At 41.7% G+C, this 24,622-nt stretch overlaps 1 protein-coding gene and 2 pseudogenes across 3 annotated transcripts in view; 2 read left to right on the plus strand and 1 right to left on the minus strand.

Moving 5' to 3' along the window:
- Positions 1 to 24,622, minus strand: part of OR3A2 (olfactory receptor family 3 subfamily A member 2) — a 110,196-nt gene that overhangs the window by 30,219 nt on the left and 55,355 nt on the right. The window lies entirely within an intron of this gene.
- Positions 3,914 to 5,115, plus strand: OR3A4P (olfactory receptor family 3 subfamily A member 4 pseudogene; annotated as a pseudogene). The gene has a single exon (NR_024128.1). The product of NR_024128.1 is annotated as an olfactory receptor family 3 subfamily A member 4 pseudogene (transcript).
- On the plus strand, positions 4,869 to 5,561 carry OR3A5P (olfactory receptor family 3 subfamily A member 5 pseudogene; annotated as a pseudogene).

Raw genomic sequence — 24,622 nt, forward strand, 5'->3', positions numbered from 1 at the left:
GACAGGGTTTCATTATGTTGCCCCTGATCTAGAACGCCTGGCCTCAAGCAATCCCCCCACTCCAGCCTCCCAAACTGTTGGGATTAGAGGCACAAGCCACCGCATCCAGCCACCCCCATTTTGATGAGGTTACTTCCTCATCCAGGAGGCACCAGATGTAATGCAGTTACCTAGATGCTCCCACTCCCCCTTCCAATTCCTACAAATATATAGAGTGTTTGTGGGGGGTGGGGTCCCTTTCTACTGAAAAGCTTGCCATAGTGTGTGTAGTCTAGTGACGCTCAACCTTAGCCCCTCTCCATGTGGAATAGGGAGAGTGCAGGGGATCACTGTGCTCTACTACTCTTCAAAAAAAAAAAAAAAACCGTAACCCCTTTTATTTTCTCCACTTAAAATCAAATAGAAAACAAAAACCACTAATATCTTCAAAAGACATTGTTAGTGTAAGAGAAAGACTAAGAACCACTTAAAATCAAATAGAAAACAAAAACCACTAATAACTTCAAAAGACATTGTTAGTGTAAGAGAAAGACTAAGAACAAAAATTGGGTTTATAGAGTCAAACATAAGTGAGTGTCACTCTTATACTTCCAAGTTTTTCCACAACAAGGCATGTGGTTCAACTGGATTTACACACGCACGCGTGCTTGTGTGTGTGCGCATTTTGTACAAAAGGTTTTGTACATCTTGGGTTCCTGTGGGATGTTCAGGTAGAAATATCCAACACACAGGCATTAGGGTCAACAACTTAGTGTCTGGGAGGGAGATAAAAACTGAGGATCGCCTGCATGTACTGCCTTTGGATTGCTATGGGAAGACAGAGGAAGGCCTCCTAGCCTGGCCCCAGGGACTCATAGGCAGTTTCTGGAAAGGAGGAGACCTGCAATGAGTCTTCAAGGAGGAAGTTCCCTTCCTTAACATTGTGTCAGAAAAGGAGACGACACAGCCTCCGGTATGTCAGGAGAAAGCAGAAATAATGGGTTCTATTTGAGCTCTGCAACTTAGCCTCTTACAAGGACAGCTGTCAACAGAAATCCCAATCCATCCTAATTCTCTGACAACTCCTCCTTGGCCCATGACAGGCTTAAGCCACTATGAGTTTCCTCAAGTGATCCTGCAAAGAGCTTCTTCCAAACCTGTTAATGAGAGTCAGTGAGAATGCTTAATTAATGAACAAGGAATTAAAATTGCAGTTGATGTCTGAAGCCACCATTAGATGTTAGTGAAAGTAGATGGTCCTGTTCTAAAAGTCCTCTAACCCTTTATCTTCCTTTGTGGTGTTGGAGGCATGAGACTAGAAAACATTTTGAGCCAGGATGCTACAGGTTCTAGATTACACTGTGGGAGCCCAGAAAAAGGCAAAGCGCTTGACTGAGACTAGAAGAGAAGCCGGGCTTGAGGATGGCTCACGTGAGCTGTGATGGGAGGTGACCTTGTGAGATGATGGCAAGAACACTGATCCAGGGATGAAACAGGAGGAAATCCTGACCTAGGCTCTGGCCTCCTCCCAGCCCCATGCTGCAGGCCAGGTGAGAAAGTCACAAGTCACTGCTCCTCTCCTCTCCTGTCCCCACCCAAGATGATGGGCTGGATTAAATCAGAAACCCAAAATCTCAACACCGTCCCCAACACAAGGTGACTTTCAGGATTTTAAGTCTTTGAGATGTTCATTTTAACTCTATAAAATGTTGATTACAAGAGTGCCGTTTCACCAGTGCTCAAAAATATTTTTGTTAAATAAATGAATGAATTTTGCCATATTGAAGAAGGCTGTACTTGGAAACATTTTGACAAGTCCATAACATTTTAAAAATATTTGAGGTCATTATGTCTTTGGCAAAGGCAGGTGTCTTTACCTGGTTCTGGCTCCCCCTGGAAGGTGCTAATTTCTGAGGCCTCCAGGGGAACAATGAGGAGGAGAAAAATCCCAGTGTGAAAATGATGTCAGCGGAGTTGCTTGTCCCTTTGTCTGTCTGTCCTTTATAAGCCATCCCCTCTGCAGAGGCTGCTGGGCCGGCGGGACTGTCCCTCCTCCTCTTTGCCCATCTCTTTGGCCGGGTGAGTCTCATCTCAAGACTCCTCACTGTACTCTCACAGCTTGGTCTCCATACAAATGAAGTTCACCCTCTGGGCTCTGAAACAGCTTCTCACTCCACCCAAAAAGATCCAGTGGGATTTGGGTGCTTCAATGTGCAGGGTTAGAGAGAGGGAAGAATCAGTAATGACTAAGCTTTCAAGCGCTACTCACGGGGAGGATGGCAATGCTGCTACCAAAATACTTAGTCCAAAGCAGATTGAGATTGAAGAAGGACGGTTCTGATTTGGAGAGACTGAGTTTGAGGTAATGGTAAGAGCATGTCCATGCAGAAAAGGCCATACTATTAGATGGTAATTGACCCTCTGGAGACCTGAGGACGGCATTCTCCACATTTAATCATTGGGAAATATCTTCCTCTGCTCATGCCTTTTGCCCCCTAGTGGTCTCCAACTCCACCCCTTCCCTGGATGAGTTAGCCTCCATGTGAGAGACTTAAATATCTATCCCTCAGCCAGAGGTTGAGGTGGATCACTGAGTATTTTATTTTATTTTTTGAGACTGAGTCTCGCTCTGTCACCCAGGCTAGAGTACAGTGGCGCTGTCTCAGCTCACTGCAACCTCCACCTCCCAGGTTCAAGCAATTCTTCTGCCCCAGCCTCCCGAGTAGCTGGGATTACAGGCACCTGCAACCACACCCAGCTAATTTTTGTATTTTTAGTAGAGACGGGGTTTCACCATATTGGCTAGGCTGGTCTCGAACTCCTGACCTCAGGTGATCCACCCACCGCGGCCTCCCAAAGTGCTAGGATTACAGGTGTGAGTCACCACGCCCGGCCGAGTATTTTATTAGCAGTGATTAGGGCTGGGAAAAGAAAAGCATTACCTAAGTGATCATATATGTGGGCAGTTCATGGCACTGTAAAAGACTTTGGCCCTATCTGGTGATCAGATAAATAGCATGTGTGTTGGATGATGCGTAATTAGAACCAGGAGACAGAAGAGTGAAAAGCTCAGTGATGGTGGAGTTGGAGGCATGGGGAATTCAGGGTGTGGGTATCTGCTTACCTAAGACTCTATTTGTGTGAGAGTTCACCTGTATATTCAATGAAACAGCGTTACTTGGTATCCACCAAACCCACCTGGGAGCCTAAGCCTGGAGACTCACCCTACTCAAAAGCCCTTTTTACATTCTTCATATTTGGTAAACGGTCAGTACTTTTGAGCCCAAATTTCCCAGACTCTATACGGAGAAATGCAATGTAATATTACTACTTGGAAAATCTAAAAGGCTGGTAGTCACCAGCTATGGAGCTGGAAATGTCCTCGGTGATGTTTCCTCGTTTAGTTTCACTGTTTTTCATCTCATTTCGCTTTTTTTCTGAAATGTCCGGACCAAATCTCATGGCCTCGCATGTTAATCTTTTAATAGTCTGGGCCACGACAGGCATCTCACTACTGCCATGGTGTATGACAGCACGTGTATGCGGGGGGTGCAGGGACACAGGTTGTGGGGAGCATGCTTTCCTGCTTCCCCGAAGCTTCCCTTTCATCCTCTGGGATCTTGTGTACCTCAACTATGGCCATGCCACCATCTGTAGACTTGGGGTTTCCTCCCAGAACTTTGGCCTCAGGAAAATAATTTTTCCCTTTACCTTTCTAATGTAACATTTGTTCCCCTTTCTACATCAATTCATGGATCTCTGTTTGAGTCTGTCCAATGCCACTCTTGTTACCCATTAAGAGTCAGATATCAAGTCTTTTCATACTACATCTAAATCTTCAACTTCCTTCCCCTTACATTTCATGCGTTCTTCCATCCCGGCCCTGTCCTGGACATTGCTATCAAGATCTCATTGATGATTGTTATCAACACCTCATCCTGCTTCTGCCACCACCGGCCCCATCTAACACTGCTCAGTCCACTGCTAGTGGAAGACAGCCATGGATCTGGGGAACTCAGGGAATGATTCAGTTGTGACCAAGTTTGTCCTGCTGGGCCTCACAGAGACTGCAGCTCTACAGCCCATCCTCTTTGTCATCTTCCTTCTTGCTTACGTCACTACCATTGGAGGCACCCTCAGCATCCTGGCGGCCATCCTTATGGAAACCAAACTCCACAGCCCCATGTACTTCTTCCTGGGGAACTTGTCCCTGCCAGATGTGGGGTGTGTCAGTGTCACTGTCCCTGCCATGCTGAGCCATTTCATATCCAACGACAGAAGCATTCCCTATAAGGCCTGCCTCTCCGAGCTCTTCTTCTTCCACCTCCTGGCTGGGGCAGACTGCTTCTTGCTGACCATCATGGCCTATGACCGCTATCTGGCCATCTGCCAGTCCCTCACCTACAGCAGCCGCATGAGCTGGGGAATCCAGCAAGCCCTGGTGGGCATGTCATGTGTCTTTTCCTTCACCAATGCACTGACCCAAACTGTTGCCCTGTCTCCTCTTAACTTCTGTGGCCCCAATGTGATCAATCACTTCTACTGTGACCTCCCACAGCCCTTCCAGCTCTCCTGCTCCAGTGTTCATCTCAATGGGCAGTTGCTGTTTGTAGCAGCAGCTTTCATGGGTGTGGCCCCCTTGGTCCTCATCACTGTGTCCTATGCCCATGTGGCAGCTGCAGTCCTGCGAATCCGCTCTGCAGAGGGCAGAAAGAAAGCCTTCTCCACGTGTAGTTCCCACCTCACTGTGGTGGGCATCTTCTATGGGACGGGCGTCTTCAGCTACACAAGGCTGGGTTCAGTGGAGTCTTCGGACAAGGACAAGGGCATTGGCATCCTCAACACTGTCATCAGCCCCATGCTGAACCCACTCATCTACTGGACATCTCTGCTGGACGTCGGGTGCATCAGTCACTGTTCCTCCGATGCTGGCGTGTCTCCAGGCCCACCAGTGCAGAGTTCCCTATGCTGCCTGCAGTTCACAGCTCTTCTTTCCCCACCTCCTGGCTGGGGTGGACTGTCACCTCTTAATAGCCATGGCCTATGACCGCTACCTGGCTATCTGTCAGCTTCTCACCAACAGCACTCGCATGAGCTGTGAAGTCCAGGGTGCCCTGGTGGGAATTTGCTGCACTGTCTCCTTCATCAATGCTCTGACTCACACAGTGGCTGTGTCTGCGCTTGACTTCTGTGGCCCTAATGTGGTCAACCACTTCTACTGTGACCTCCCACCTCTTTTCCAGCTCTCTTGCTCCAGCATCCACCTCAATGGGCAGCTGCTGCTTGTGGGGGCCACCTTCATAGGAGTGATCCCCATGATCTTTATCTCAGTGTCCTATGCCCACGTCACAGCTGCAATATTACAAATCCGCTCAGCTGAGGGGAGGAAGAAGGCTTTCTCCACATGTGGCTCCCACCTCACTGTGGTCTGAATCTTTTATGGAACTGGCTTCTTCAGTTACATGTGTCTGGGCTCAGTCTCAGCCTCAGACAAAGATAAGGGGATTGGGATCCTCAACACTATCCTCAGTCCCATGCTGAACCCAGTCATTTACAGCCTCCAGAACCCTGATGTGCAGGGCACCCTGAAAAGGGTGCTGACAGGGAAGAGGCCCCCAGCTTGAGAAGATGGGGTTCAAAATGCAACCTCCCTCCTCGAGCAACCCCCCGACTTTCTTATGCTGAAGGACTAGGTATGGGCAGGAAAAATCCTCAGCGTCGGGTCATAAAATGGGAGGAAAGTAGATAGTCTTGGTCAGGGTAGAGTGTGGTCTGCCTTGGATTGAGGAGAAAGGCAAAAGCTTAGGTGAGAGAGTATCTAAGTTACTGATACAAAGTGAATTGAAGACAAGAGAAAAATATGATGTGGGTCAGGTAGCGGGAGACAAACTATTTTGTATTTTTTTAATTTAATGATTGTTCAATTGAAACATATATAAAATGTTAATAAAAATGAAATGTCTGGCCTCCTTTTTAGCAAAACTATATTTGTATTCGAGTGTTGGGTGTGATTTTTAAAAGGCTCTACTTTAAGAAATAGGTCTAGTATTGTAAAGTTAAATTTGGGCTTGACATACACTAGGAGCAGAGTGTTGGTACTTGTCAGAGCACCCTGCAAGCACCTTCTTCAGAGCAACATCATCAAACACCTGTTCCCAAAACTGCAGCCCCTTTCTGACTACTTATTAGTAGGGACAACACAGGTACATGGCAGTGCATGAGCCTATTCTCACAACCTGCCCCCGCCCCCTGACCAGAAACATAAGAATGTATCACTGTATGTTCCCTGAGAAGAAGCATTAATAACTAGTAAGATAGATTTATTTATTTATGAGATGGAGTTTCGCTCGGTCGCCCAGGCTGGAGTGCAGCGGCACGATCTTGGCTCACTGCAGCCTCTGCCTCCTGGGTTCAAGTGATTCCCCTGCCTTAGCCTCCCGATAGCTGGGATTACAGGTGCCTGCCACCACGTCCGGCTAATTTTTGTATTTTTACTGGAGACGGGGTTTTACCATATTGGCCAGGCTGGTCTTGAAGTCCTGACCTCATGTGATCCACCCGCCTCAGTCTCCCAAAGTGCTGAGATTACAGGTGTGAGTCACTGCACCTGGCCATAAGTTTTACTTTCAATGGCAAAATACACTGATTTATGTTGGACATTCTGTTTAATTCATACGTACAGATAATTAGTAAAGGTGAGGAGACTGATAAGAAGGGGAAACTAGAGGGGAATATCATTTGCAATTTATCAATGAGTAAGTACTGGAACCTGAGATTTTAACAACAGAGTGAAATTACGGCAATCCAGAGAGAAATAATAGAATCATAGTCAATTTCGTGCACTATCGTGGCCATTTCTAGAACTTATTCTGTAAATCCTTCAGGCACTTCCTGGACAAGAAGTTGGAAGTTGAAGACTCACCTTGTCCGACATGCTTATTATTTGAGGAGGGCAGCAGGGAACCCTTAAGGGGCCTTAGATTATCTCAGCACACAGAGGTATCCACAGTTATTCTCCACATCCAGCCATCCGTTGGGTCCCACTGAACATTATGCTGGACTCTCTTACACCATTGTCCTCTGGCAGACAGCTGCCTCCCAGCTGGGACCCATGCCATCCAACAGTCTCTGAGCCCTGGGCTCCTCCCTAACTCAGTGCTGTCTACACTGCCCCATTAATCCCCTGGAACAATATCTGCTCAGTGTCATTTCATCTGCCAAAGGCTGCCAAGTCTTTCTGATCAAATCTAGACCTTTCTCAGGTAGGCAAAGTCTTCCATCATTCCTTCCTGGCTTCTCCACTCAATCTTCATCTTTCAACCACGGGTGCTCACTTAGGTGGCTCATGAAGCCCTTGGTTTGTATTCAGTGTTCTTAATCTCCTCTGAAAGAGTGTAGCCTACACAGCATGACAGCATCATAATTTTCTCTGTATTCCTCCAGCTTCTTTTATTCTTCCCAGCTAGGTTATAATCTCCTTAAGGACGGGATCCATGTCTTATATTATGTCTTCCAAACACACAACAGAGTGCTGAGTAGATAGCTGATGTTCAAGCCATCTTGTGGGTTATTTGATAGCAGAAAGCATGACTTATGATAAGAAATTTGTCTTCCACATAGGAAGTCAGTGAAACTGCTAGATGTTTTCAAAATATCCTCAAGGTCCCAATATTAGGATAGTATAAAGATATAAAGAGAAAATTTTTTAAAGATAAATTTTCTTCTGATGAAATAAAGACAATCATTGAATTTGACATAACAGGGAAAAGGCTTCCTAACTTTGTGCATGAAATGCAATATCATTTCTCCTCAAACAAAAAAACCCTGAAACTAAAACCAAAGAAGTACCTCCTTCTTGCAAAAAATTATAAACAGAGCATTTAATTAGCAAAATCTGAGCATAACACTATAGGTTGGGAAATCCTATAATATCCAAAGACTTGGGAAAGCATTACAGAGAGAAGTGTAATAATAAATGAGTGATCACAAGTTGTGTCAGTGTTTGTCTTTCCTTAATTCATCTTCTAAAGTAAAGAGTTTTTAACTCTGCTATGCAAATATAAATAATTCATGTTTTATGTAAATAATTTAAATAAAAAGCATATATTTGTTTAAAAAGAAGAGTGAACGTATTGACATGAGAAGTTGTATAGCACATATGACTAAATTGAGAAAGTGATGATGATGTAAACATGTGTATGGGCTGAAAATCCTGGAGGAAAACCCGTAAGCTGCACACGGTGATTCCCTCTGTGGAGGGAATAGGACTGGGGAGGGCAGTGGAAAATGGGGAATGACTTTCGGTTTTTACTCCATTTACTCTGGTATTATTCAAAGTTTTTCACTGAGTTCTGTAATTTTAAAAAATTAAATACATATATTTTTTAAATTTCCACTTTTACTTTAGATAAGGAGATGTATGTGCAGATTTGTTACTTGGTAATACTGCATGATGCTGAGATTTGGAGTCCAGATTCCATCACCTTGGTCATGAACACAGTACCCGATAGGCAGTTTTTTAATCCACACCTTCTCCCTCCTCTTTTTAGTAGTTCACAGTGTCTCTTGTTCTCATATTTATGTCCATGTGTACTCAATGCTTAGCTGTTAATGATTAGAACGTGGTATTTTATTTTCTCTTTCTGCATTAATTTGCTTAGGAGAATGACCTCCAGCTGCATCCATGTTGTGGCAAAGGACATTATTTCATTCCTTTTTATGGCTGCATAGTATTCCATAGTGTATATGTACCACATTTTCCTTATCCAGCTCACCACTGATGGGTACCTGGGTTGATTCCATGTCTTTGCTATTGTGAATAGCTCAGTAGTAAACATATAAGTGCGTGTGTCTTTGTGGTAGAATGATTTACTCTCCTTTGGATATGTATCCAGTAATGGGACTGCTGGGTCAAATAATAGCTCTGTTTTAAGTTCTTTGAGAAATCTCCAGACTGCTTTCCACAGGGGCTGCACAAAGTTACATTTCCACCAACAACGTAGAAGCGTTCTCTTTTCTCTGCAGCCTTGCCAGCATCTGTTGCTTGTTGACTTTTTAATAGTAGCCATTCTGACTGGTATGAAGTGGTGTCTCATTGTGATTTTGATTTGCATTCCTCTGATGATTAGTGATGCTGAGCACTTTTTCCTGGGTTTGTCGGCCACTTGTATGTCTTCTTTTGAGAAGCGTCTGTTCATGTTCTTTGCCCATTTTTTAATGAGATTATTTGATTTTTGCTTGTTGATTTGTTGAAGTTCCCTATAGGTTCTGGATATTAGGCCTTTGTCAGATGCACAGTTTGTGAATATTTTCTCCCAATCCATAGGTTGTCTGTTTATTCTGCTGATGGTTTATTTTGCTATGCGGATCTTTAATTAGGTCCCACTTGTCAATAACTAACTAAATAAATAAAACTTTTAAAGTGCTAACTGGTGAAAATATGGGGGGGGGGGCGGTAGTAAGATGAGTAGTAAGATGAGTCTACTATAGTGTTTTCTCTCCAGCCTTCAGAGTGTCCCGTCATCCTCACCTTTAAGGAAACTAGTGAGTTGTCCCATCTATCCAACACAAGCCCACCTTGTTCACTTGATCAAGATTTAGAGGCAGTCATCTTGTCCATCTCTCTTCATCTAAGTGAAGAATCAAACCAAACAGCTCTTATCCTTAAGAGAATAGCCCTGGTGGACCTTCTTACCTCTTTCCATCTCCTGTCCCTGAAGATTGAAATATCACCCTCCACTCCACACCAACCCTCATCCTGCACCACCATCAACAACCTGTCCCCCCAGCACCCACTTCCCTATTGCACAGTTTTGAATCTTTATATGAAATTCCAGTCAAAGGTGGTGACTAATCTTGGTTGGGATGAATGTATGATCTTTGCAGATATAAGTCCATGGATTCCTGACACTAAAAGAAACTTCTAGCAAAATTTTTGCCCAGCCATCCTAACTGAGATAGCTCATATTCAAAGAAACATGTTTCAGACATTGTGAGTTCTCAACACATCTGTGAACTGTTGAGTACATCCACGATCCATGTGTCAAGCTCAGCAGATGTCATTTTACACACCATGGGCATCTACATATGTCTACTTGGAGATGATCTCACACACATCCCAACAATACCTCCTTCTCCCACATCCATCCTACCATCTGTGTCCAGCCCAGAGAAAAGCTCTACTAGGACTCAGCAGAATTATAACAGTAGTATATTTTATCTTATTATTTTATTAGCACATAGCAATATTTACAAAGCAATTTTAAAATCTGTGTTCTCATTTGAATTTTTCAGTGGCACAGTTGAATGTAACCCACAGTGACAACCAGGACCAGGATTAGAAAATAGGAAGGCCAGCTTTTATTATTCTCACTTCACAGATGACAGATTCGGTGACTTGCCAGAGGCCATAGAGTTAGGCCCAGTAGCTTTGCCTCCTTCCCTGCATCCAGTTAATCATCAAAGAATTCAAAACTAAACAGAGTGATAATGACTGTGGGTGCAATGAGTTTCAGAAATGCAAAAGGCAGTACAGTTGAATGAAGAGAACCTTCAACAGAATATATGGAGATCAAAGTTTTAATTCAGTCTCTGCTATTTTTAGCCTACAGATCTGTTCAAGTTTTGATTCTTTATCTACAAAATTAGTCACTTCCAAGTATCTCAGGCTTTTTTCACTCACCTACTACATAGTAAATACTCAAGCCCAGACAGGATGCCAAAGACTGCAGGGATTAAGAGACTATGAGCTATTAAACGGACAGGCAATAAGGTTGAGTACCGGTGCATAAACCCAGAAACTATTTATACAGTGGATCAGATGAGCAGAAGTTCATTCTGGGGCTTCAGCAGCTGGAGAGATGCCAGAATTGGAGGTGGTAACAGTGAGCCAGGAAGAGACGTGAAGGCCTGAGAAGTAGCAATAAGTGAAACAGAAAGAGGTGAGCTTTGGAAAGAGTCTTGAAACATCAGCCAGAAAATATTTAACCTCTCTTTTAGACTATGGTTGTAAAATCTTGGAGGGTAAAGATATCAGGGATCTGAAAGGGTTACCTTTATTTGGTATTTACAGGTAGTTGTCCAGGCCAGAATATAAGGACAAATAAATACAAATCCAGCATCTTCTGTGTGGCAGGCAGCAAGCTGGGAAGCTCACGCACCTTGTTGCATTAAGTTAACTTTGGTCAAGTGAACATAGCATTGGAGTGAGAAGTTGGGAGGCCGGGGCTCTGGGCTAACACTGCTCCTTGCTAGCTGTGTGACACAGGGTAGATCATTTCCTCCCTGTGGGCCCCAGTTTTCCCATCCATAAAATAGGAATGGGAATCATACCATGAACTTCATATGATTATTTTGGGGACTAAATGAATTGAGGTACAGAATTACTGAGTCAACAAGTATAGTGTAGAACATGTTAAAATTTCATTGGGTTTTGAGTTGAAGGAGTTACCCTATTTCGAGAGTTGTGCCCTCTCTCTAACAAAAGCCAGAGTAGGAATTTATCTCCCCAGGCCCAAAACTCTACCCCTCCCGGCCAGTGCTATGCCCTTTGTACCACACTAGCCCTCACTTTCCATGAATGAACTAGTGAAGAATTCAGGCCTGTAGAAGCCACAGTGTCCCCCCGCTCTCTCCACACTGGGAGACAGCATGATTAATCTCTTGGGATCCACACCACTTCAGTTTATTTTGGCGTTTTAGTTAAGCAGCAACTCACTGATAAACTTTGCTAACTTCCCCAGTTCAACAGGGTCTCGGGAGATATCTATCCAGCAAGTCTTCAAAGAAAGGTTCCCACAGAGACAGCCAGGGCTAGGATTGGGGAGTTAAGTGCTTACAAGTTCCACAAACAGAATCCCCTAATTAGCTCCCAAATGAGAGTTCAGGATAATGCAGCCTAGGTGCTGAGGGAAGACTGGGAATTTCCTGACTGTCTTCTGTGTCTCTGCTAATAAGGCCAGAGGGAAGGGATGCACAGAAAGAGATTCACTTTCTTTTTGGTCCTTAGTCTGAAAGAAACTGGGACCTTAGAGAGTGGAAGAGGCCAATTAGTGATGGGGGAGTTCAGTACTTTTGTTAGCAAGACTCATTAGCCAAGTTGTGACTAGCAGGAAGATGAGTTTAAAACGAGAATGCCTGGGCATGAGTCAGCCTCCCTGTAAACGCTAGCCTCCCCTTTATTTGCTTGTTGTCTGCTTATCGAGACCGCATTCCTCCAGCCTCCTTCACACCCCAGAACTTCCTTGTTCTTCCACTGTTCTTCCTACCCAGCACAGCCTGCTTACTTTTTAGTTCCACGTGAATAAATGCATCTGCTTCAGTGTTTGCAATGGCTACATCATTTGACAACTGCATTATCAACCCTCTATCTTCACCCTTTAGGTTGTTTCCAGTTTTTCACTATTAAGAACCATAATTTGATGTGTTTTTTCCACAGCTATTTCCCTAAATGGGCCACATGTATGTGTATATTTTCAACACTTTTATGAATATTGACAAACTATCAACTAGACAGATTGTACCACCAATTCAGTGCGAGAGGGCCACTTTCCTAACCCTAACCAACCCTAAGTATTGCCATTTTTAAACATCCTTACAATGTGATCAGTGAATCTCTATTTCCTATTGTAGTTTTACTTTGCATTTTTTTTAAATAAACCCTATTCTATAGCTTTAAATGTAAACAAAACAACTCCCTCCATTTTCAAGTATGTCTTAAACCTCCATTGCTTTTACCTGCTACATACACACCAAATCATGGTGTACACTGGTGAATAAATGATAAGTAGTCCATAGCCTTTACTATCATTGAAAAAACAGTGTCCCTCCACTAATTAATTCATTTATTTAGCAAACATTATGATTCTACTGTATGCAAGGACAATCTATATGAATATACACTAACTTCAGTGTATTCCATATTGTTGGGTTATTGAGTCTGAGGGATTAGCAGATTTATTTGTAAAGGACTAGGCAGTAAATATTTTAGGCATTGGGGGCCACATATATCTCTCTTGCTGCTGCTGCTTTTTAAAATTTATATTATTTTTATTTTTTATTCATTTTTTTAAATTTTATTATTATACTTTAAGTTTTAGGGTACATGTGCACAACATGCAGGTTTGTTACATATGTATACATGCGCCATGTTGGTGTGCTGCACCCATTAACTCGTCATTTAGCATTAGGTATATCTCCTAATGCTATCCTTCCCCCATCCCACCACCCCACAACAGTCCCCAGTATGTGATGTTCCCCTTCCGGGTCCATGTGTTCTCACTGTTGAACTCCCACTTATGAGTGAGAACATGAGGTGTTCGGTTTTCTGTTCATGTGTTAGTTTGCTGAGAATGATGGTTTCCAGTTTCATCCATGTCCCTACAAAGGACATGAACTCATCATTTTTTATGGCTGCATAGTATTTCATGGTGTATATGTGCCACATTTTCTTAATCCAGTCTATTGTTGTTGGACATCTGGGTTGGTTCCAAGTCTTTGCTATTGTGAATAGTGCTGCAATAAACATACGTGTGCATGTGTCTTTATAGCAGCATGATTTATAATCCTTTGGGTATATATACCCAGTCATGGGATGGCTGGGTCAAATGGTATTTCTAGTTCTAGATCCTTGAGGAATCGCCACACTGACTTCCACAATGGTTGAACTAGTTTACAGTCCCACCAACAGTGTAAAAGTGTTCCTATTTCTCCACATCCTCTCCAGCACCTGTTGTTTCCTGACTTTTTAATGATCGCCATTCTAACTGGTGTGAGATGGTATCTCACTGTGGTTTTGATTTGCATTTCTCTGATGGCCAGTGATGATGAGCATTTTTTCATGTGTTTTTTGGCTGCATAAATGTCTTCTTTTGAGAAGTGTCTGTTCATGTCCTTCGCCCACTTTTTGATGGGGTTGTTTGTTTTTTTCTTGTAAATTAGTTTGAGTTCATTGTAGATTCTGGATATTAGCCCTTTGTCAGATGAGTAGGTTGCAAAAGTTTTCTCCCATTCCGTAGGTTGCCTGTTCACTCTGATGGTAGTTTCTTTTGCTGTGCAGAAGCTCTTTAGTTTAATTAGATCCCATTTGTCAATTTTGTCTTTTGTTGCCATTGCTTTTGGTGTTTTAGACATGAAGTCCTTGCCCATGCCTATGTCCTGAATGGTATTGCATAGGTTTTCTTCTAGGGTTTTTATGGTTTTAGGTCTAACATGTAAGTCTTTAAGCCATCTTAAATTAATTTTTGTATAAGGTGTAAGGAAGGGATCCAGTTTCAGCTTTCTACATATGGCTAGCCAGTTTTCCCAGCACCATTTATTAAATAGGGAATCCTTTCCCCATTGCTTGGTTTTCTCAGGTTTGTCAAAGATCAGGTAGCTGTAGATAGGCGGCATTATTTCTGAGGGCTCTGTTCTGTTCCATTGGTCTATATCTCTGTTTTGGTACTAGTACCATGCTGTTTTGGTTACTGTAGCCTTGCAGTATAGTTGGAAGTCAGGTAGTGTGATGCCTCCAGCTTTGTTCTTTTGGCTTAGGATTGACTTGGCGGTGCGGGCTCTTTTTTGGTTCCATATGAACTTTAAAGTAGTTTTTTCCAATTCTGTGAAGAAAGTCATTGGTAGCTTGATGGGGATGGCATTGAATCTATAAATTACCTTGGGCAGTATGGCCATTTTCACGATATTGATTCTTCCTACCCATGAGCATGGAATGTGTTTCCATTTCTTTGTATCCTCTTTTATTTCATTGAGCAGTGGTTTGTAGTTCTCCTTGAAGAGGTCCTTCACATCCTTTGTAAGTTGGATTCCTAGGTATTTTATTCTCTTTGAAGCAATTGTGAATGGGAGTTCACTCATGATTTGGCTCTCTGTTTGTCTGTTGTTGGTGTGTAAGAATGGGTGTGATTTTTGTACATTGATTTTGTATCCTGAGACTTTGCTGAAGTTGCTTATCAGCTTAAGGAGATTTTGGGCTGAGACAATGGAGTTTTCTAGATATACAATCATGTCATCTGCAAACAGGGACAATATGACTTCCTTTTTTCCTAATTGAATATGCTTTATTTCTTTCTCCTGCCTGATTGCCCTGGCCAGAACTTCCAACACTATGTTGAATAGGAGTGGTGAGAGAGGGCATCCCTGTCTTGTGCCAGTTTTCAAAGGGAATGCTTCCAGTTTTTGCCCATTCAGTATGATATTGGCTGTGGGTTTGTCATAGATAGCTCTTATTATTTTGAGATACATCCTATCAATACCTAATTTATTGAGAGTTTTTAGCATGAAGCGTTGTTGAATTTTGTCAAAGGCCTTTTCTGCATCTATTGAGATAATCACGTGGTTTTTGTCTTTGGTTCTGTTTATATGCTGGATTACATTTATTGATTGGCATATGTTGAACCAGCCTTGCATCCCAGGGATGAAGCCCACTTGATCATGGTGGATAAGCTTTTTGATGTGCTGCTGGATTTGGTTTGCCAGTATTTTATTGAGGATTTTTGCATCAATGTTCATCAAGGATATTGGTCTAAAATTATCTTTTGTGGTTGTGTCTCTGCCAGCCTTTGGTATCAGGATGATGCTGGCCTCATCAAATGAATTAGGGTGGATTCCCTCTTTTTCTTTTGATTGGAATAGTTTCAGAAGGAATGGTACCAGCTCCTCCTTGTACCTCTGGTAGAATTCAGCTGTGAATCCATCTGGTCCTGGACTTTTTTTGGTTGGTAAGCTATTGATTATTGCCACAATTTCAGAGCCTGTTATTGGTCTATTCAACTTCTTCCTGGTTTAGTCTTGGGAGGATGTACGTGTCGAGAAATTTATCCATTTCTTCTAGATTTTCTAGTTTATTTGCGTAGAGGTGTTTATAGTATTCTCTGATGGTAGTTTGTATTTCTGTGGGATCGGTGGTGATATATCCCCTTTTTCATTTTTATTCATCTATCTGATTCTTCTCTCTTTTCTTCTTTATTAGTCTTGGTAGCAGTCTATCAATTTTGTTGATCTTTTCAAAAAACCACTCCTGGATTCATTAATTTTTTGAAGGGTTTTTTGTGTCTCTATTTCCTTCAGTTCTGCTCTGATTTTAGTTATTTCTTGCCTTCTACTAGCTTTTGAACGTGTTTGCTCTTGCTTCTCTAGTTCTTTTAATTGTGATGTTAGGGCATCAATTTTAGATCTTTCCTGCTTTCTCTTGTGGGCATTTAGTGCTATAAACTTCCCTTTACACACTGCTTTGAATGTGTCCCAGAGATTCTGGTATGTTGTGTGTTTGATCCCATTGGTTTCAAAGAACATCTTTATTTCTGCCTTCATTTCGTTATGTACCCAGTAGTCATTCAGGAGCAGGTTGTTCAGTTTCCATATGGTTGAGTGGTTTTGAGTGAGTTTCTTAATTCTGAGTTCTAGTTTGATTGCACTGTGGTCTGAGAGACAGTTTGTTATAATTTCTGTTCTTTTACATTTGCTGAGGAGTGCTTTACTTCCAACTATGTGGTCAATTTTCGAATAGGTGTGGTGTGTTTCTGAAAAGACTGTATATTCTGTTGATTTGGGGTGGAGAGTTCTGTAGATGTCTATTAGGTCCGTTTGGTGCAGAGCTGAGTTCAATTCCTGGACATCCTTGTTAACTTTGTCTCGTTGATCTGTCTAATGTTGACAGTGGGGTGTTAAAGTCTCCCATTATTATTGTGTGGGAGTCTAAGTCTCTTTGTAGGTCACTAAGGACTTGCTTTATGAATTTGGGTGCTCCTGTATTGGGTGCATATATATTTAGGATAGTTAGCTCTTCTTGTTGAATTGATCCCTTTACCGTTAAGTAATGGCCTTGTCTCTTTTGATCTTTGTTGGTTTAAAGTCTGTTTTATCAGAGACTAGAATTGCAACCCCTGCCTTTTTCTGTTTTCCATTTGCTTGGTAGATCTTCCTCCATCCCTTTATTTTGAGCTTATGTGTGTCTCTGCACGTGAGATGGGTTCAGCACACTAATGGGTCTTGACTCTTTATCCAATTTGCCAGTCTGTGTCTTTTAATTGGAGCATTTAGTCTATTTATATTCAAAGTTAATATCGTTACGTGTGAATTTGATCTTGTCATTATGATGTCAGCTGGCTATTTTGCCCATTACTTGATGCAGTTTCTTCCTAACCTCGATGGTCTTTATAATTTGGCACGTTTTTGCAGTGGCTGGTACCGGTTGTTCCTTTCCATGTTTAGCACTTCCTTCAGGAGCTCTTTTAGTGCAGGCCTGGTGGTGACAAAATCTCTCAGCATTTGCTTGTCTGTAAAGGGTTTTATTTCTCCTTCACTTATGAAGCTTAGTTTGGCTGGATATGAAATTCTGGGTTGAAAATTCTTTTCCTTAAGAATGTTGAATATTTGCCCCCACTCTCTTCTGGCTTGTAGAGTTTCTGCTGAGAGATCAGCTGTTAGTCTGATGGGCTTCCCTTTGTGGGTAACCCGACCTTTCTCTCTGGCTGCCCTTAACATTTTTTCCTTCATTTCAACTTTGGTGAATCTGACAATTATGTGTTTTGGAGTTGCTCTTCTCGAGGAGTATCTTTGTGGTGTTCTCTGTATTTCCTGAATTTGAATGTCGGCCTGCCTTGCTAGATGGGGGAAGTTCTCCTGGATAATATCCTGCACAGTGTTTTCCAACTTGGTTCCATTCTCCCCGTCATTTTCAGGTACACCAATCAGACATAGATTTGGTCTTTTCACGTAGTCCCATATTTCTTGGAGGCTTTGTTCATTTCTTTTTGTTCTTTTTTCTCTAAACTTCTCTTCTCCCTTCCTTTCATTCATTTCATCTTCCATCACTGATACCCTTTCTTCCAGTTGATCGCATCGGCTACTGAGGCTTCTGCATTCGTCACGTAGTTCTCGTGCCTTGGTTTTCAGCTCCATCAGGTCTTTTAAGGACTTCTCTGCATTGGTTGTTCTAGTTATCCATTCGTCTTGATTTTTTTTCACAGTTTTTAACTTCTTTGCCATTGGTTCGAACTTCCTCCTGTAGCTTGGAGTAATTTGATCGTCTGAAGCCTTCTTTTCTCAACTCATCAAAGTCATTCTCCGTCCAGCTTTGTTCCATTGCTGGTGAGGAACTGCATTCCTTTGGAGGAGGAGAGGCACTCTGATTTTTAGAGTCTCCAGTTTTTCTGCTCTGTTTTCTCCCCATCTTTGTGGTTTAATCTACCTTTGGTCTTTGATGATGGTGACATACAGATGGGTTTTTGGTGCGGATGTCCTTCCTGTTTGTTAGTTTTCCTTCTAACAGACAGGACCATCAGCTGCAGGTCTGTTGGAGTTTGCTAGAGGTCCACTCCAGACCCTGTTTGCCTGGGTATCAGCAGTGGTGGCTGCAGAACAGCAGATTTGGTGAACCGCAAATGCTGCTGCCTGATCGTTCCTTTGGAAGTTTTGTCTCAGAGGAGTACCCGGCCGTGTGAGGTGTCAGTCCGCCCCTACTCGGGGGTGCCTCCCAGTTAGGCTACTTGGGGGTCAGAGACCCACTTGAGGAGGCAGTCTGCCCGTTCTCAGATCTCAAGCTGAGATTTTCTTCTTATGTGAATGCATGTATTAAGTATTTGTCATAGATGCTGCAAATATTTTCCTTATTAAATCTGTCCTACTCATGCTAATGATGTTTTTGACATACAGACTTTTACACAGTCAAGCATATGCACATTTTACTTTATGACTTCTGTCTTTGCTGTTATGCTTGAAACTATTTCCCCATCTCAAGTTCATATTGTCATCTATTTTTTTTACTATTTTTATGATTTTGTTTTTTATATCTTATGTTTTATACTTTCATATTCAAAATTCATTTTAGTAAATGTTGTGATAAAGGGGTACAACTTTATTTTAACTCTACAGCTTGTGTTCAAAGATCCTTCCAATTTTTTTTTTTTTTTTTTTTTTTGAGACAGGGTCTCGCTCTGTCGCCCAGACTGGGAGTGCAGTGGTGCAATCTCAACTCACTGCAACCTCCACCTCCCAGGTTCAAGCAATTCTCCTGCCTCAGCCTCCTGAGTAGCTGGGATTACAGGTGCATACCATCACACCTGGCTAATTTTTATACTTTTAGTAGAGATGCGGTTTCACCAGGTTGGCCAGGCTGGTCTCAAACTCCTGACCTCAGGTGATCCACCCACCTTGGCCTCCCAAAGTGCTGGGATTACAGGAGTGAGCCACCCCACCCTGCCTGTTCTAAATGTTTTAAGTATCTCTTTTTATCAAATTTTAAATGTATATAGATATATATACACACACTTGTATTTTCTTCTGAACTTTATATTCTGTTACAGCAGTCCGTGTTAGTATACCACAATGTTTCAATAACTGTAGCTTTATTTATTTTTTCTGATCAAGCCTCTTTTTAAAAATTAAGGTATCACATCTCAGCCTTTTGGTTAAGATCAAGTGTAAAAATTGAGGTAAGATATACATGTAAAATTTACCATCTTTACTACTTTTTCTCTCTTCAACTTTCACTTTAAGTTCCAGGGTATACGTGCAGGATGTGCAGGTTTATTACATAGGTAGATGTGTGCCATGGTGGGTTGCTGCACAGATCAACCCATCACCTAGGTATTAAGCCCAGCATCCATTAGCTGTTCTTCCTGATGCTCTCCCTTCCCCTACTCCCCCTGAAGGTTCTGGTGTGTGTTGTTTCCCCGAATGTGTCCATGTGCTCTCATAGTTCATCTCCCGCTTATAAGTGAGAACATGAGGTGTTTGGTTTTCTGTGCCCGCATTAGTTTGCTAAGGATAATGGCTTCCAGCTCCATCCATGTTCCTGCAAAGGACAGGATCTCATTCATTTCTATGGCTGCATAGTATATCATGGTGTATATGTACCACATTTTCTTTATCCAGTCTATCATTGATGGGCATCTGGGTTGATTCCATGTCTTTGCTATTATGAATAGTGCTGCAATGAACATATGTGTGCATGTATCTTTATAATAGAATGATTTCTATTCATTTGGGTTTATACCCAGTAATGGGATTGCTGGGTCAAATGTAAAACCCCAAACTATAAAAACCATAGAAGAAAATCTAGGCAATACCATTCAGAACATAGGCATCGGCAAAGATTGTTGCGGGAAGTCAGGGACCCCAAATGGAGGGACCGGCTGGAGCTGCAGCAGAGGAACATAAATTGTGGAGATTTCATTTTAATATGGACATTTATCAGTTCCCGAAATTAATACTTTTATAATTTCTTATGCCTGTCTTTTTTTTTTCTTCTTTTTTTTATTATACTTTAAGTTTTAGGGTACATATGCACATTGTGCAGGTCAGTTACATATGTATACATGTGCCATGCTGGTGTGCTGCACCCACTAACTCGTCATCTAGTATTAGGTATATCTCCCAATGCTATCCCTCCCCCCTCCCCCCACTCCACCACAGTCCCCACAGTGTGATATTCCCCTTCCTGTGTCCATGTGATCTCATTGTTCAATTCCCACCTATGAGTGAGAATATGCAGTGTTTGGTTTTTTGTTCTTGCGATAGTTTACTGAGAATGATGATTTCCAACTTCATCCATGTCCCTACAAAGGACATGAACTCATCATTTTTTATGGCTGCATAGTATTCCATGGTGTATATGTGCCACATTTTCTTAATCCAGTCTATCATTGTTGGACATTTGGGTTGGTTCCAAGTCTTTGCTATTGTGAATAATGCCGCAATAAACATACGTGTGCATGTGTCTTTATAGCAGCATGATTTATAATCCTTTGGGTATATATACCCAGTCATGGGATGGCTGGGTCAAATGGTATTTCTAGTTCTAGATCCTTGAGGAATCGCGACACTGACTTCCACAATGGTTGAACTAGTTTACAGTCCCACCAACAGTGTAAAAGTGTTCCTATTTCTCCACATCCTCTCCAGCACCTGTTGTTTCCTGACTTTTTAATGATCGCCATTCTAACTGGTGTGAGATGGTATCTCATTGTGGTTTTGATTTGCATTTCTCTGATGGCCAGTGATGATGAGCATTTTTTCATGTGTTTTTTGGCTGCATAAATGTCTTCTTTTGAGAAGTGTCTGTTCATGTCCTTCGCCCACTTTTTGATGGGGTTGTTTGTTTTTTTCTTGTAAATTAGTTTGAGTTCATTGTAGATTCTGGATATTAGCCCTTTGTCAGATGAGTAGGTTGCAAAAGTTTTCTCCCATTCCGTAGGTTGCCTGTTCACTCTGATGGTAGTTTCTTTTGCTGTGCAGAAGCTCTTTAGTTTAATTAGATCCCATTTGTCAATTTTGTCTTTTGTTGCCATTGCTTTTGGTGTTTTAGACATGAAGTCCTTGCCCATGCCTATGTCCTGAATGGTAATGCCTAGGTTTTCTTCTACGGTTTTTATGGTTTTAGGTCTAACGTTTAAGTCTTTAATCCATCTTGAATTGATTTTTGTATAAGGTGTAAGGAAGGGATCCAGTTTCAGCTTTCTACATATGGCTAGCCAGTTTTCCCAGCACCATTTATTAAATAGGGAATCCTTTCCCCATTGCTTGGTTTTCTCAGGTTTGTCAAAGATCAGATAGCTGTAGACATGCGGTGTTATTTCTGAGGGCTCTGTTCTGTTCCATTGACCTATATCTCTGTTTTGGTACCAGTACCATGCTGTTTTGGTTACTGTAGCCTTGTAGTATAGTTTGAAGTCAGGTAGTGTGATGCCTCCAGCTTTGTTCTTTTGGCTTAGGATTGCCTTGGCGATGGGGGCTCTTTTTTGGTTCCATATGAACTTTAAAGTAGTTTTTTCCAATTCTGTGAAGAAAGTCATTGGTAGCTTGATGGGGATGGCATTGAATCTGTAAATTACCTTGCGCAGTATGGCCATTTTCACGATATTGATTCTTCCTACCCATGAGCATGGAATGTTCTTCCATTTGTTTGTATCCTCTTTTATTTCCTTGAGCAGTGGTTTGTAGTTCTCCTTGAAGAGGTCCTTCACATCCCTTGTAAGTTGGATTCCTAGGTATTTTATTCTCTTTGAAGCAATTGTGAATGGGAGTTCACTCATGATTTGGCTCTCTGTTTGTCTGTTGTTGGTGTATAAGAATGCTTGTGATTTTTGTACATTGATTTTGTATCCTGAGACTTTGCTGAAGTTGCTTATCAGCTTAAGGAGATTTTGGGCTGACACAATGGGGTTTTCTAGATATACAATGATGTTGTCTGCAAACAGGGACAATTTGACTTCCTCTTTTCCTAATTGAATACCCTTTATTTCCTTCTCCTGCCTAATTGCCCTGGCCAGAACTTCCAACACTATGTTGAATAGGAGTGGTGAGAGAGGGCATCCCTGCCTTGTGCCAGTTTTCAAAGGGAATGCTTCCAGTTTTTGTCCATTCAGTATGATATTGGCTGTGGGTTTGTCATAGATAGCTCTTATTATTTTGAAATACGTCCCATCAATACCTAATTTATTGAGAGTTTTTAGCATGAAGGGTTGTTGAATTTTGTCAAAGGCCTTTTCTGCATCTATTGAGATAATCATGTGGTTTTTGTCTTCGGCTCTGTTTATATGCTGGATTACATTTATTGATTTGCGAAAATACGTCCCATCAATACCTAATTTATTGAGAGTTTTTAGCATGAAGTGTTGTTGAATTTTGTCAAAGGCCTTTTCTGCATCTATTGAGATAATCATGTGGTTTTTGTCTTTGGCTCTGTTTATATGCTGGATTACATTTATTGATTTGCGTATATTGAACCAGCCTTGCATCCCAGGGATGAAGCCCACTTGATCATGGTGGATATGCTTTTTGATGTGCTGCTGGATTCAGTTTGCCAGTATTTTATTGAGGATTTTTGCATCAATGTTCATCAAGGATATTGGTCTAAAATTCTCTTTTTTGGTTGTGACTCTGCCCGGCTTTGGTATCAGAATGATGCTGGCCTCATAAAATGAGTTAGGGAGGATTCCCTCTTTTTCTGTTGATTGGAATAGTTTCAGAAGGAATGGTACCTGTTCCTCCTTGTACCTCTGGTAGAATTTGGCTGTGAATCCATCTGGTCCTGGACTCTTTTTGGTTGGTAAACTATTGATTATTGCCACAATTTCAGCTCCCGTTATTGGTCTATTCAGAGATTCAACTTCTTCCTGGTTTAGTCTTGGGAGAGTGTATGTGTCGAGGAATTTATCCATTTCTTCTAGATTTTCTAGTTTATTTGTGTAGAGGTGTTTGTACTATTCTCTGATGGTAGTTTGTATTTCTGTGGGATCGGTGGTGATATCCCCTTTATCATTTTTTATTGCGTCTATTTGATTCTTCTCTCTTTTTTTCTTTATTAGTCTTGCTAGCGGTCTATCAATTTTGTTGATCCTTTCAAAAAACCAGCTCCTGGATTCGTTAATTTTTTGAAGGGTTTTTTGTGTCTCTATTTCCTTCAGTTCTGCTCTGATTTTAGTTATTTCTTGCCTTCTGCTAGCTTTTGAATGTGTTTGCTCTTGCTTTTCTAGTTCTTTTAATTGTGATGTTAGGGTGTCAATTTTGGATCTTTCCTGCTTTCTCTTGTGGGCATTTAGTGCTATAAATTTCCCTCTACACACTGCTTTGAATGTGTCCCAGAGATTCTGGTATGTTGTGTCTTTGTTCTCGTTGGTTTCAAAGAACATCTTTATTTCTGCCTTCATTTCGTTATGTATCCAGTAGTCATTCAGGAGCAGGTTGTTCAGTTTCCATGTAGTTGAGCGGTTTTGAGTGAGATTCTTAATCCTGAGTTCTAGCTTGATTGCACTGTTGTCTGAGAGATAGTTTGTTATAATCTCTGTTCTTTTACATTTGCTGAGGAGAGCTTTACTTCCAAGTATGTGGTCAATTTTGGAATAGGTGTGGTGTGGTGCTGAAAAAAATGTATATTCTGTTGATTTGGGGTGGAGAGTTCTGTAGATGTCTATTAGGTTGGCTTGGTGCAGAGCTGAGTTCAATTCCTGGGTATCCTTGTTGACTTTCTGTCTCGTTGATCTGTCTAATGTTGACAATGGGGTGTTAAAGTCTCCCATTATTAAAGTGTGGGAGTCTAAGTCTCTTTGTAGGTCACTCAGGACTTGCTTTATGAATCTGGGTGCTCCTGTATTGGGTACATATATATTTAGGATAGTTAGCTCTTCTTGTTGAATTGATCCCTTTACCATTATGTAATGGCCTTCTTTGTCTCTTTTGATTTTGTTGGTTTAAAGTCTGATTTATCAGAGACTAGGATTGCAACCCCTGCCTTTTTTTTGTTTTCCATTTGCTTGGTAGATCTTTCTCCATCCTTTTATTTTGAGCCTATGTGTGTCTCTACACGTGAGATGGGTTTCCTGAATACAGCACACTGATGGGTCTTGACTCTTTATCCAATTTGCCAGTCTGTGTCTTTTAATTGGAGCATTTAGTCCATTTACATTTACAGTTAATATTGTTATGTGTGAATTTGATCCTGTCATTATGATGTTAGCTGGTGATTTTGCTTGTTAGTTGATGCAGTTTCTTCCTATTCTCGATGGTCTTTAAATTTTGGCATGATTTTGCAGCAGCTGGTACCGGTTGTTCCTTTCCATGTTTAGCACTTCCTTCAGGAGCTCTTTTAGGGCAGGCCTGGTGGTGACAAAATCTCTCAGCATTTGCTTGTCTGTAAAGGATTTTA

Source organism: Homo sapiens, chromosome 17, assembly GCF_000001405.40.
Source record: "Homo sapiens chromosome 17, GRCh38.p14 Primary Assembly".
NCBI classification, from domain to species: Eukaryota; Metazoa; Chordata; class Mammalia; order Primates; family Hominidae; genus Homo; species Homo sapiens.